This window comes from Homo sapiens, chromosome 14, assembly GCF_000001405.40.
Source record: "Homo sapiens chromosome 14, GRCh38.p14 Primary Assembly".
Taxonomy (NCBI): Eukaryota; Metazoa; Chordata; class Mammalia; order Primates; family Hominidae; genus Homo; species Homo sapiens.
This window is the reverse complement of record NC_000014.9, coordinates 68977792-68990297: the sequence shown is the minus strand read 5'-3', so window position 1 is coordinate 68990297 and position 12506 is coordinate 68977792. Positions and strand designations below refer to the sequence as shown.

At 50.2% G+C, this 12506-nt stretch overlaps 1 protein-coding gene and 1 long non-coding RNA gene across 22 annotated transcripts in view, besides 3 other annotated features; one reads left to right on the top strand and one right to left on the bottom strand.

Annotated features, from left to right (window-relative positions):
• Positions 1-2834: 2834 nt before the first annotated feature.
• Positions 2835-10616, bottom strand: ACTN1-DT (ACTN1 divergent transcript). Its single transcript, NR_073422.1, has 4 exons — positions 10514-10616; positions 10111-10370; positions 4497-4613; positions 2835-2953 (listed from the first exon to the last, which is right to left on the bottom strand). It is a non-coding gene; the product is annotated as an ACTN1 divergent transcript (long non-coding RNA).
• Positions 10130-11128: an enhancer, noted in NCBI's record as "H3K27ac hESC enhancer chr14:69445887-69446885 (GRCh37/hg19 assembly coordinates)". NCBI's record gives its function as "activates a minimal SCP1, AML or CMV promoter by ChIP-STARR-seq in naive and primed H9 embryonic stem cells {active_cell/tissue: H9 hESC(naive and primed)}" and the evidence as "EXISTENCE:reporter gene assay evidence [ECO:0000049][PMID:30033119]".
• Positions 10939-10988: a silencer, noted in NCBI's record as "silent region_5875". NCBI's record gives its function as "represses an Ori minimal core promoter by ATAC-STARR-seq in GM12878 lymphoblastoid cells {active_cell/tissue: GM12878}" and the evidence as "EXISTENCE:reporter gene assay evidence [ECO:0000049][PMID:35858748]".
• ACTN1 (actinin alpha 1) overlaps positions 10996-12506 on the top strand; it is a 105175-nt gene continuing 103664 nt past the window's right edge. For 15 of the 21 annotated variants that reach the window (NM_001424029.1, NM_001424027.1, NM_001424025.1 and 12 more), the window contains exon 1: positions 10996-11346. In NM_001424029.1, the coding sequence (NP_001410958.1) occupies positions 11242-11346 (105 nt within the window). In that variant the 5' untranslated portion in view covers positions 10996-11241. Of the gene's footprint in view, positions 11347-12028; positions 12349-12506 lie in introns of those variants that run through there. The other 6 variants (NM_001424022.1, NM_001424020.1, NM_001424018.1 and 3 more) reach the window with 4 other exon arrangements.
• Positions 11129-12128: an enhancer, noted in NCBI's record as "NANOG-H3K27ac-H3K4me1 hESC enhancer chr14:69444887-69445886 (GRCh37/hg19 assembly coordinates)". NCBI's record gives its function as "activates a minimal SCP1, AML or CMV promoter by ChIP-STARR-seq in primed H9 embryonic stem cells {active_cell/tissue: H9 hESC(primed)}" and the evidence as "EXISTENCE:reporter gene assay evidence [ECO:0000049][PMID:30033119]".

Genomic DNA, 12506 nt, shown 5'->3' with positions numbered 1-12506 from the left:
TCGAATTCCTGACCTCAGGTGATCTGCCCACCTCGGCCTCCCAAAGTGCTGGGATTACAGGCGTGAGCCACTGCACCTGGCCAGTCCTTTCCTTTTTAAAGAGTTGAAAATATTTCAGAACCCACATTATTTCCATTTTGCTGTCAAGCCACAACCATTGTTTCAGAGAGAAGGCTGTATATGAAAAAGACTAGGTCTTTTTTTTATTTTTTATTTTGACTTATTTTTTTTTCTAAGTCAGGTGCCTCTGGATATGAAAAAGACTAGGTCTTTTTAATCTCCATTTCTCTCCCCACCTCCTTGTACATTCCTTTCTCATTCCAGATAATTGCCTCCTCCCTGCAGGTTTATTTCCAAAGCAATTCAAGAAAAGCTGTTTGATGGGTCCACACATTGTGATCTTCTGTGGCTCCTAAAATGTTTTAGAGTTTCCCAGTGGGGGGATAGGTTAACTTTTTCTTGGCCATAGACTGGGTAGTTCTGGTATGACAGCAAATGTAATCTGATTTTTCTTTCTTTTTTCTTATTTATTTATTCATTCATTCATTCTTTTTTTTCAGCTCCAGCTCAAAGGAATTCTGATTTTTAGATGATGGAAAAAAGGGAGGAAGGAAAGAAAGGAAGAAAGAAGCAGAAGAAAGAAAGCAAGAAAGAAACGAATAGCAGCATCCAACAAACCAAGTTTACATGTACCTTAAGGGAAAGAATTTTGTAAGAAAGCTTTTATTTGCAGATGATGTCTGCAAATTGCACCTGTGGCCAACCAGAAATGGGGAGGACCGACAACTGCAGCAAGCCCCTTACCAGCTTCAAAATTATATTTATCTTATTTCCCCCATTTTTAGTAGTTGAAAACACTTCAACACATCCACTGTTAATAATTCTTGCTTCTGAGCATATAGAAAATAGGTCAGTGATGGGACATGCTCAGGATTATAGGCCATGGTGGGAGATAAGAAGATCTTTGAGACCTGAACAACTTCCTCCATGAGGCTGTCACTCAGGGCAGCTCCTGGGTAAGACCTGGGAACCATGCTGTTAAGCTGTGCTGAGATGGAGTTAGAGGAAATGTGGAGGAGGGCTTTCCAGAAGGCAGGAGGCTGGAAGAGGGACTTGAGGGTCTTGAAGAAAAGGCATGTGGGCAGGAGTGTCAGGAGGGGCATGAGGTAATGTTCCCAGAGTGCTCTGAGCCCTCTGGTTAAAGGACATTTAACCACAGATTATTATACTACCTATTATTTGTGTCTGTAATAACTGCTATGACAATGGATGCTGCAAAGGTCAGCCCTGGGGCTTCTGTTGTCTGATGCACTTAGTAAGGGTTGGGGGTGGAAAAGAGTTGATGAGGCTTGCTATTGATCTAAACACTTTTCAGCTGGCCAAGGCCAAGGTGTGGGGGGCGGCCTATGAGAAACTCCAGATGAAACTGATCTCCTCTGGGACTCAGGCAAGGATGGCAGCTGAAATTTAACTTGAATATGTGCAGGGTAAGTCCCATGGTGTAAAAGCTCATCTCAGCATCTTTTTGAGTGCAGGACTCTCCACCCTGAGAGGCTGGACCAGCCACAGAGAGTAGGCACTCACTCAGTTCAGGGCAGAGGCCTGCCTTGGTCACCAAGCATGCAGCATGCCAGGTGGAGTGGGGCCCTGGGCTCTGGGCTCCTGAACAGTTACTAGGCCCCACAGGAGTTTGGACTGCCCTTTCCTGTCTAGAGTCATCTCAGATCTCACTGAGCATTGCTTGGTAGGACTGTAGCAATTCCACCCCTTCACCTTACATGAAGAGAGGGAGGATCTTGGAGGAGAAAAGTCTCAAAAAAAAAAAAATTAATAATAATAAAGAGTTTGAGACCAGTCTGGCCAACATGGTGAAACCCTGTCTCTACTAAAAACACACAAAAAATTAGCTGGGCATGTTGGTACATGTCTGTAATCCCAGCTACTCAGAGGCTGAGGCAGGAGAATCGCTTGAATTCAGGAGGTGGAGGTTGCAGTGAGCTGAGATGGCACAACTGCACTCTAACCTGGGTGTCGGAGTGAGACTCTGTCTCTAAACAAACAAACAAATAAATAAATAAATAAATAAGCTGGGCATGGTGGTGCATGCCTGTAATCCCAGCTACTCGGGAGGCTGAGGTGGTAGGATTGTTTGAGCCCAGGGAGTCAAGGCTGCAGTGAGCCATAATAGCACCACTGCACTCCAGCTTGGGTGACAGACCCTCAAAGACAAGACAGAGACCCTGCCTCAAAGGAAAAAAAAAAGTTTCATTGTGTGTCCTTCATTCAGACTGGGTCCCATGCCCTAAGCCAATCGTGTGCTCTGATTGGCTAGGCCTGTCATTTGCCCAGCCCTGTTGACTAGGGGTGGGGTCAACTCTCCCTGAAGCCCAGGGATTGGAGCAGGGGAAGTGCCCTCCCAGAGGAATATCAAGGTATGGTTGCCAGGAGGGGGAAATGGTTGCTGGGCAGCAAAACAGCAGTTATCTATTAGACCCACATTTGCATTGTACTTTTCAGTGTGTGTCTCATGTGCATTATTTCTTGCTAGCTACTGTGACCTCTTGGCTGCTCCTGGAATGCTCATGTTTTCTCACCCCTTTAGGTCTTCAATGTTACCTACTCAACAAACCTTCCCTGAACACCCCATTTAAAATATGTAACCTCCCTCTACCTCTCCCCAAATTCTCAATTCCCCTTCTCTGCTTTATATATACATTCTTTCCTTAGAGCTTAACACTATCATATTATTTTACTTCTTTATTTTCTTACCAGGCTCTCCCAGTTGAAATGTAAGTTCCATGAGGTAGGGACTTGTATCCATTCTGGTCACTGCTACATCATCTGTGGCAAAACAGTGTCTGGCACATAGTAGATACTCAATAAAAAATAGTTGACTGAATGAATGAATGTGCACAGCCATCCTGTGAGGTAGGTGGGATGGAGGTGATTCTCTCTGTGTTATAGATAAGGACATTGAAATTTGAGCAAAGGATCCTGTTGGTACAAAGATCAAAAAAAAATTTTTTTTTAACTTTAATTGTTCAGTGCTAATGAGAAAACAGCAGAGGGAACTTGATTCATTACAGTGTGTTCCAATCAAGTGAAGGTTAAATGATGCCCTGATGCAGTAGTTCAAATAGAGAAAGTGGTAGGAGAATTGAGTCATTGCCTGGCACGTGGTGATATAGGCATCCCCAACGCAGAAAGAACCACCTGCTTGATCACAGTCAGAATTAAATCATGCTGGGAGTAGCAATTTTGTTTCAGCAAATAGCAACAGTTACATTTAAATTAGTGTGGCTAATTTGAATCTTACTGGTTTTATAGTTTCTTTTAAATAGAATTTGTAAGCTTGTTTTCATTTTGTAGTTGATTGTAAACCCCAAATGTTAAGAAGTGTTGTGCCTAGTTTTATGTTCATACACATTTAAGGAACATTAAAATAAAAATTAAGTAACTTTGTGAGGATTTGTATCCTTTCAAAAGGAACTTGCTTAGTATTCAAGATAGAGAAACATTGTTTCAGAAGATTCAAATCATCCTCTCACTGGAGATAAAAAGGAGGAGTTGCAGAAAGACATTCTTAGAACAGTGCTCAGAACTTTATTACCAGGAGCTTAAAGACTGTCTGGTGAATCCAGCCCTGTCATTTTGCAGATAAGTAAACTGAAGCCCAGCGAGCTCAGGTCTCCTTGCCTTGTCCTGCTTCTCACATAAGGATATCTGCCCCTGAAAGCTATCCCATCATTTCCATGGAAATGATCTGGACAGAGTGGCTTTTCAGCTAGTGGCTGCTGTAATTGGTAAGGCCAATGCTGTGTTGTGGGGGAGGTGGAGGGTTAGGCATCAAATTGGGGGTTACTGATTCTTCCAATCTGTGAACATAATAAATCAGCTTTCCGTTTATTTAGGTCTTCACATTCTCAGCTGTGATTTGGGTGTGTTGCTCTGATTTTTGCTGGGAACAAGAGACAGATGGGGAAGAGCTCCCAGCCCTCCTTGGAGGGCCCAGGCTGGGCAGCTCTCAAGCCTGACTAGCTCTGCTCCCAGAGCTGACCTCAAGGTAGCCATCTAAGGTAGAGATTTCTGATGGTCCAGGTTGGTTTACCCTGGGTATCTGGGGGAGATAAATATGCCTGATCACTAGGGAAAAGAGTGTACCTGGCCTGGCGCGGTGGTGTGTGCTTGTAATCCCAGCACTTTGGGAGGCCGAGGAGGGTGTATCACCTGAAGTCAGGAGTTCGAGACCAGCCTGACCAATATGGTGAAACCCCATCTCTACTTAAAAAAAAAAAAAGAAAGAAATTAGCTGGTGTGGTGGCACATGCCTGTAATCCCAGCTATTTGGGAGGCTGAGACAGGAGAATTGCTTGAGGCAGAGGTTGCAGTGAGCTGAGATCATGCCATTGCACTCCAGCATGGGCAACAAGAGTGAAACTCTATCAAAAAAAAAAAAAAAAAAAAGAGTGAACCAGACAGGCCAGATATTCTCTCACCTGAGACCCTAGAGCTGGGCAGAGGATGGGAAGCACAGGAACTTTTCTGCCAGCCTCTTATTAGAGATCCCGCACGAGGGAAACTGCTGAGTGTCTCCTGCCCTGCCTCACTGGTCTCTGGTGGGAGAGAGAGGAATTGACCCTAGGGCAAACTGTTCCAGTGAAGCAGAAGCTGGTGTGGAGGAATTCATCCTGGTGGGTGATGGCTGAGTGCTGCTGGCTGGGGCATCGGAGTAGGGACAGCCAACTCAATTTCACCACCATGGGCTTCATGAGCTTCTCAGGAGGCCCAAGAATTTGGGAAATGCTTGTGTGGACCATGGCAAAGGACTGGCCTCCCCAAGCCTCCCATGGATTGATGGAGAAACAGGCAGTGAGATGGAATTTGGCTAATGCCATTTTTCATTTCATGAATATTGAACTGGAACACTTATTGTGTCCTAGGCCCTGTGTTACACTGAGTGGGGGAAAGAACAGGGTTGAGGCTTCATAAAGGCAGTGTGAGAGAAAAAATGGACAAAGGACTAAAATAAAGCAAAGTATACTCTCTTAGTTACAAATGGTATGCTATGGGCGTTTGGGGAAGAGGAGTCTATTAACTATATTGCTACTGGGACTGGGGACAAAACTGAGGTTTCTGATTTCCCAAGCCCAAAACCCAAAAAACTATAGTGATTTATTTCCTACCTCCTTCTAGCATTCTACAAACACTCTAATGACTACCATGCCCTGGGCTCTTAGGAAGAGCTCATAGGAGCCTATCACCATTAGGCTGTAAGGTTAGAGAAGAACTCAGGATACAAGGAAGGCAATGGCCAGATATCTAGGTGGGAGGTCCATAGTGCTTTTAGTTTCCAGAATCTTGCAGATCCTACGTGTCTATGTCTCCCCACAGGGCCTCACATGGTCAGTCACCCATAGCAGGGTGGAAAAGAAATTCATGAGCATTGAGGTGGCCTGCTGCATGCCAGGCATGGGGCTGGCACTCTCCCTTCTTTATGTCACCTCATGTGTCAATCCAGTTCTTTTTTTTTTTTTTTTTGAGATGGAGTTTCACTCTTGTTGCCCAGGCTGGAGTGCAATGGTGTGATCTCAGCTCACCACAACCTCCACCTCCTGGGTTCAAGTGATTTTCCTGCTTCAGCCTCCCGAGTAGCTGGGATTACAGGCATGCGCCACCATGCTTGGCTAATTTTTTGTATTTAGTAAAGGTTGTCTTATACTGAGACTAAAGTCCCCAGTATCATTTCACAGGGTGGTGGCCATGAGTGAGAAGATGGGTCAGTCTGTTACCTTGGTCCATCTCAGGACCTCCCTTATTGAGAAGATAAGTTCATCAGTTATTGTTTCAACTTACTTCCTTACCGTCTTCCCACACACTGTGGGCATCCTCACGCATCATAACTCCCCCTTTTCTTTCCTCAGGCTCAGATGAGGGTCTTTCTTTTCTTTTTTTTTTTTTCTTTTCTTTTTTTTTTGAGACCGAGTCTCGCTCTGTCACCCAGGCTGGGGTGCAGTGGTACGATCTCAGCTCACTGCAACCTCTGCCTCCTGGGCTCAAGCGATCTGCCACCTCAACCTCCCAAGTAGCTGAGACAACAGGTGTAAACCACCATATCTGGCTAATTTTTGTATTTTTAGTAGAGATGGGGTTTCACCATGTTGGCCAGGCTGGTTTTGAACTCCTGGGCTCAAGTGATCCGCTTGCCTTGGCCGTCCAAAATGCTGGGATTACAGGCATGAGCCACCTCACCCAGCCAGATGAGGGTCTTTCTTCTTGTTCAATGGCCCATCCCTTAGCCTGTGTCCTTGAACCCATATGGTCCTATCTCCTCAAGAACTTTGTGCTATCCCTCAACTTTCCTTTTTTTTTTCTAGACAGTGTCTGGCTCTGTCACCCAGGCTGGAGTGCAGTGGCCCAATCGTGGCTCATTGCAGCCTAGACTTCCCAGGCTCTAGCAATCTTCCCACCTCAGTCTTCCAAGTAGCTGGGACCACAGGTGCACTCCACCACGCCCGGCTAATTTTTAGTATTTTTGGTAGAGATAGGTTTTTACCATGTCACCCAGGCTGGTTTCGAACTCCTGAGTTCAAGCGATCCACCTGCCTTGGCCGTCCAAAGTTCTGGGATTACAGGCGTGAGCCACTCCACCTGGCTCCCTTAACTTTCTTTAGCTTACATTTTCAACTTTTTCCTCTTAACTGAATTCTTCTTTTCAAACAGCTCACATTTTCCAGTTTTAAAAGAAATCTTCCTTTGATCTCAGTACTTGCGTCTAGCTATTGCCCCTTTAGCTACTTCTTTTTCCCCTCTATATTCAGTCTCCATTTATTCACTCCTAATGTCTCTTTAAACTTACAGCTTTTGCCACTCTGCCAAAATTCCATTGGCCAAGGTCACCAGTGAATTTTCAACTGTCATATCCAAGAACACTGTTTAGGCCTTATTTTCCAGACTTTTTGAATATATCTGATATTGCCAATTCCTCTTACTTTGAAACCTTACTCCTTTGACCTCCTCAACGTCATATACTCCAGGCCCTCCTCGTTCCTGGATGACCATTTTCTTTGTCTCCTTCAGGGGTTCTTGTTCTTTGCTGTCCCTTTCTAAGTGTTGTTCTCCAGGGTTCTGCCCTCTTCTCATGTCCACCTGGGCATTCTTCATGGGTGGTCTCCTGGTGTTAATATCATCCATATGCAGATGACTCTCAACTCTGTTTTGCCTGAGGTCAGGGCTATGCAGTCAAACTGCCTGCTGGTCTATGGAATCTGGACATTCTAAGAGCACTCCAAATTCAATGTGTTCAAACTCAATCCATGATTCTGTTCCTAAATATTTTCCTTTTCTGTTCTATCTTAATTGGTCATAGTGCCACCATTCCCCAGATCATCTAAACTATAAACTCATGATTAAAGCAGGATTGCTCAACCTCAGCACTCTTGATATTTTGGGCTGGTTAATTCTTTCTTTCTTTCATATTTGGCTGGTTAATTCTTTCTTTCTTTCTTTTTTTTTTTTCTGGACAGAGTGTTGCTCTGTCACCCAGGCTGGAATGCAATGGTGCAATCATGGCTCACTGCAGCCCTGACCTCCTGGGCTCAAGCAATCCTCCTGCCTCAGCCCCCCAAGTAGCTGAGAATACAGATTCACACCACCATGGCCAGCTAATTTTTGTATTTTTGGTAAAGACGGGTTTTCGCCACCTTGCCCAGGCTGGTCTCGAACCCCTGACCTCAAGCGATCCACCTGCCTCAGCTTCCCAAAGTGTTGGGATTACAGGCATGAGCCATCATGCCTGGCCTGGATAATTCTTTGTTGTGGGGATGCTGTCCTATCCATTGTAGAACGTTTAGCAGCATTCCCAACCTGCATCCACTGGATGCCAGTAGGAACCCACCAGCTGTGATAACCCAAAATGACTCCAGACATCAACAAATATCCCTTGTGAGGGGGAGCTGTTAAAATATCCTAGAGTTGAGAACCACTGGGGTTAAAGGCACAGGTCTGGGAGTCACATGTACTGGTGCCATTTTGGACTAGTTACTACCTCTCTGAGCCTCAGTTTGTTTTCTCTGTAAGACAGAGAAACACCTCATAGGAGGAACTTAATATAGGTAAAGTGCATGGGATCTCTCAACAAAAACACTTATCTTTTCTCCAGACTCCTAGGTCTTTCAGTTTTATCCCCTAAGTATTTCTGGTCTATCCACACTTTTCCATTTCGACCTGGATTATTGCAACAGCTTTGCAACTGGTGTCAAAGCTTCCAGCCAGCCTTGCTCCCCTTAGATCCACACTCCACCTGGCACATGAGGCCTTCATGGTCTGGCTGCTTTGCACCTCTCTAGCCCCGTCTCTTGCCCCTCCCGGCCTTGGATTTCTAGTCCAGCCACGTTGAGATGCTAGACATTCCTTTGTATACCATGCAGTTTCCTGTCCTTGTGCATTAGCTTGTGCTGGTCCTTCCTTCTGGAGTAACTTCCCACACTCTTTATCTGGCTGACTCTCATTCTTTAACGTTCACTTAAGTTTCACCTCCTCCAAAAAGTTAAGCCTGGAGCCTCCTTTCCCACGGGGTTCAGTGCCCCTCATCTGTTCCAACAGTACACTTGTCAGATCTCTCTCCTTGCGTCTAACTCATGACATCATATTTTTGTTTCTGTGTCTGTCTGCTGGGCTGTGTGCGACAGGGACTATGGCTTTTTCATCTCTGTATACATCTAGTACATTCCCTGATATGCAGATGGTGCTCAGCAAATATTTATTGGGTGAATGAATGGATACAGCACTACCATTACCCTCTGTGTTAGGTTTAGAGCCACAGTTTAGAAGCGGTGATAAAATGGTCCATAAATCAGCTGTCTCTGTGGCTCAGAAGCAGTGCTTCCTCAGCCAGGGGCTTTTGGAAGGCACAGTGCTGGAGGGTAACACTCATATGAATATGTGTGGTTGACGAATGATGCAGCCAGAGACACCATCCGATATCTGCTCACAACAGCAGCAGTGGCTCTTCTGAGAACCAGGGGGCACTTTCTTCACCTTTTCCATGGGTGGCTTTCAGGTATCCACCATCGCCTGGAGAGAAGGTAGAGGACAAAATCCAGCCCATAATTCAGGGCCCTTCCTGTCAGTGAACTTCTTCTTCTAACTCCTTCACTCACTTCTGAATTGACATATTTGCATTTTAAATTTAAATTTAAATTTAAATTTTTGCAGTTGATGCAGCCATTCATCCTACAAATACAGTCCTCCCTTAGTATTGGCAGGGTATTGGTTTCAGCATCCCCATGGATACCAAAATCTGAGGATGCTCAAGTCCCTCACAGTCAGCCTGGGTATCTGCGGGTTCTGAAGCCTGTGGATATAAAGGGCCAAATGCATATATGTATGTATATATTTTGAGACAGTCTTGTTTTGTCACCCAGGCCGGAGTGCAATGGTGAAAATGCACCTCACTGCAACCTCGACCTCCCAGGCTCAAGGGAGTCTCCCGCCTCAGCTTCCCAAGTAGCTGGGACTACAGGCGTGTACCACCATGCCCGGCTGATTTTTGTATTTTTAGTAAGGACGGGGTTTTGCCACGTTGGCCAGGCTGGTCTCCAACTCCTGGGCTCAAGCGATCTGCCCGCCTCAGCCTCTCAAAGTGCTGGGATTACAGGTGTGAGCCACCGCCACCGTGGCCAGCCTCAAATCCATAAATTAAGCTCTACTATGTGCTGGGTGCTGGGGTGGAAGACTGGCACATCTGTTGTTCACAAGACAGTGCATAACCTAGGAGAGGTTTATTTGCTACTGTTCTTCGGAACCGGGATCCCATAGAGGAGCCTGCCAGAACGCGAGGCCTGCTCCTTCCCGGGCATTAGCGCGTTTAGACTCTCCTCTTACTAAGCCCAGGGAAAGGAGTCCTGGCAGGTGGCAAGCAGAAGTTAGAGCTATTTAGTCACTCCCGCCCTCCATCCTCCTCCAATGACAATAAGGTTTTGTTTGTCAGGCATAAGGTTACCGGATTGGCCTGTGAAGTCCAGAAGCTCTTTCCGCGCTCGGCTCTTTGAGCCTCAGTTTCCCCATCTGTCAGGCGTGTGTATGTGGGAGGGGGGTACGGAGTAGATTTACCTAGATCACTCGGGGTTGTCCCTTCCAGTTTTGAGGGTGATGTCGGGGTGTCTGTGAGGAGGAGGGAGGACCCTGCCACGCGAAGGTAGTTTTGGTCGCAGCAGCCAGCCAAGTGTGCCCGCGGAGACCGGCAGGGAATTCCGGGAGGCCCCGCTGTGGAGCGGTCCCCAGAGCCCGAGGGCGAGCTAGAAGAGTTCCTGCGGCGAGGCGGGAACGCTCGGTAGCCTCTGAGAGCAGTTCGCTGGCGAGAAACCGGGTTCCTGCAGGGCAGGGATCAGCCGGGTCGCGCCTTGTAGGGTGGGGTGGGGTGGGGCGGGGCCGGGGGGGGCGGCGGTGGAGTCGTGAAATTCCCAAGAAATTCCTTTCCATTGCCCCACTCCGCCCCCTTTCCTAGGGTGCCGACCTGCCCAGACCCAGGTTCCCTGGGAAAGAGAAAATGAATGTTCTTCGGGTTTCCTCGCGTCCTTTCTCCAGCCCCCTCCCACCCCGGGGTTTGGAGCGCGCGTGGGAGCGCAATAACGGTGGCGGGGAACGGGTCCAATCCCGGCGGCTCCTGGGGTTCCCAAGCGCGCTGCCACTCAGTCCCCGAGCTCGGGGAGGCGTCTCCCGGCTTCGGTCCCGTTCAGCTTAAGCTGGCGTCACATGAGCCGCGGGGGAACGGGCACCGCGGGAGTGGGCGGGGGTGTGCGCGCCGGGAGGGGGCCGCCCAGTCCACCTATATGCGCCGCAGCCCGGCTGACGGATGCCAGGAATTCCCAATGAGAGGCGATGGGGGGAAGTTTGGGCAACTCGGCCTGGCCAATGGAGAGCCTCGGGAGGGCTCTGCCCCTTCCCCCCGCCCCCGCCCGCCTCGGCTCCCGCAGCGCTAGTGTGTCCGCCTAGTTCAGTGTGCGTGGAGATTAGGTCCAAGCGCCCGCCCAGAGGCAGGCAGTCCGCGAGCCCAGCCGCCGCTGTCGCCGCCAGTAGCAGCCTTCGCCAGCAGCGCCGCGGCGGAACCGGGCGCAGGGGAGCGAGCCCGGCCCCGCCAGCCCAGCCCAGCCCAGCCCTACTCCCTCCCCACGCCAGGGCAGCAGCCGTTGCTCAGAGAGAAGGTGGAGGAAGAAATCCAGACCCTAGCACGCGCGCACCATCATGGACCATTATGATTCTCAGCAAACCAACGATTACATGCAGCCAGAAGAGGACTGGGACCGGGACCTGCTCCTGGACCCGGCCTGGGAGAAGCAGCAGAGAAAGGTTAGCAGCCGCCCCCGCCCGCTGCAGCCCCCAGCCCCCAGCCCCCAGCCCCGACCCGCTCTGCCTGCCGGGCTCTCGGCTCCGGGCTCTGAACCGGTTCCGGGCGCGCACGGGAGGGGGCGGGGGCGGTGCGGCCGTTGCGAGGTGGGGTGTTGGGTTACAGGCGCCTGGCGGAAGCGGGAGCGCCCCTGCCCCGGAGCCCGGGAACGCCGGGCCGGAGCGCGGGGAGGTGGCGCCGCTGGCGGGCAGGTCTCCTTGGGGGTCCGTGGTCCAGGCCACCCTGCGGCTGTTGCAACCATCCCCGCGTGGGCTGTGCTCGGGGGCGGTGGTCTTCAGGCTGGGGCTGAGACCCCGGCTCGGGGCTGCTTGCTCCGGATCGATTTTCCCTTTTCTTCCGCCCCTGGCCACCTCTCCATATGGCGTGCGGTGGCAGCGCCGCTTCCTGGGCCGCCCTGGGTTCAACCTGAGCGGCGGGCCTCCCGGGACCCTGCTGCCCCTTAGGCGGAGGGGAGAGCGCCGGAGAGATCGGCGGCCGCCTCCGGATCTGCCTGGAGAAGGACCAGCTGGAGTGCGGCTGGGGACGAGAAAACTGGGGGGCGTACGCGGGCTCCCCCGCGGGCCCTGTGGGGGCGGGGTCAGGACAGCAGACCGTTTTATTGCTTAACTCAGTGGGTTGGAAGCTGTAACCCCGACATGGGCTTGCGCTACGTCCTGCCCCTCCGACCCCCGGGAAAGGTGGGCAGCTCGGTTCGAGTTGAGGGGCTGCAGAACGAGGGTCAGTCTTAGGGGATATTTGGGGCCAGTCACTGGGGATCCCTACTTAGCCACGGAGCTGCATCCCAGGCAGGCGCGGTGTGCCGGGTGCGCGCCCCGCCACGGGAGCTGGGCTCGGAGCTGGCGATGGGACCCGGGCACAGTGGCCAGTGGCAGGAAGAGGTCAGAAACCACTCGTGGTGGTGGGGGGAGGGCGCCTCAACCCTACCGCTGCTTCCTGCCTGCGCGGTGAGCCTGTGCCCCCAGGCGGCCACGTACCCTGAATACCCCTTTCCCTCCCCCTCCTCCCGGCTGCCCACTTCCATCCGGTCCCTCCCCGTTTCATACCCTCCCCACCCCCAGGCTGATCTGGGAATGGGGTTTTGGGTGGGGGGGGGACAGGATGG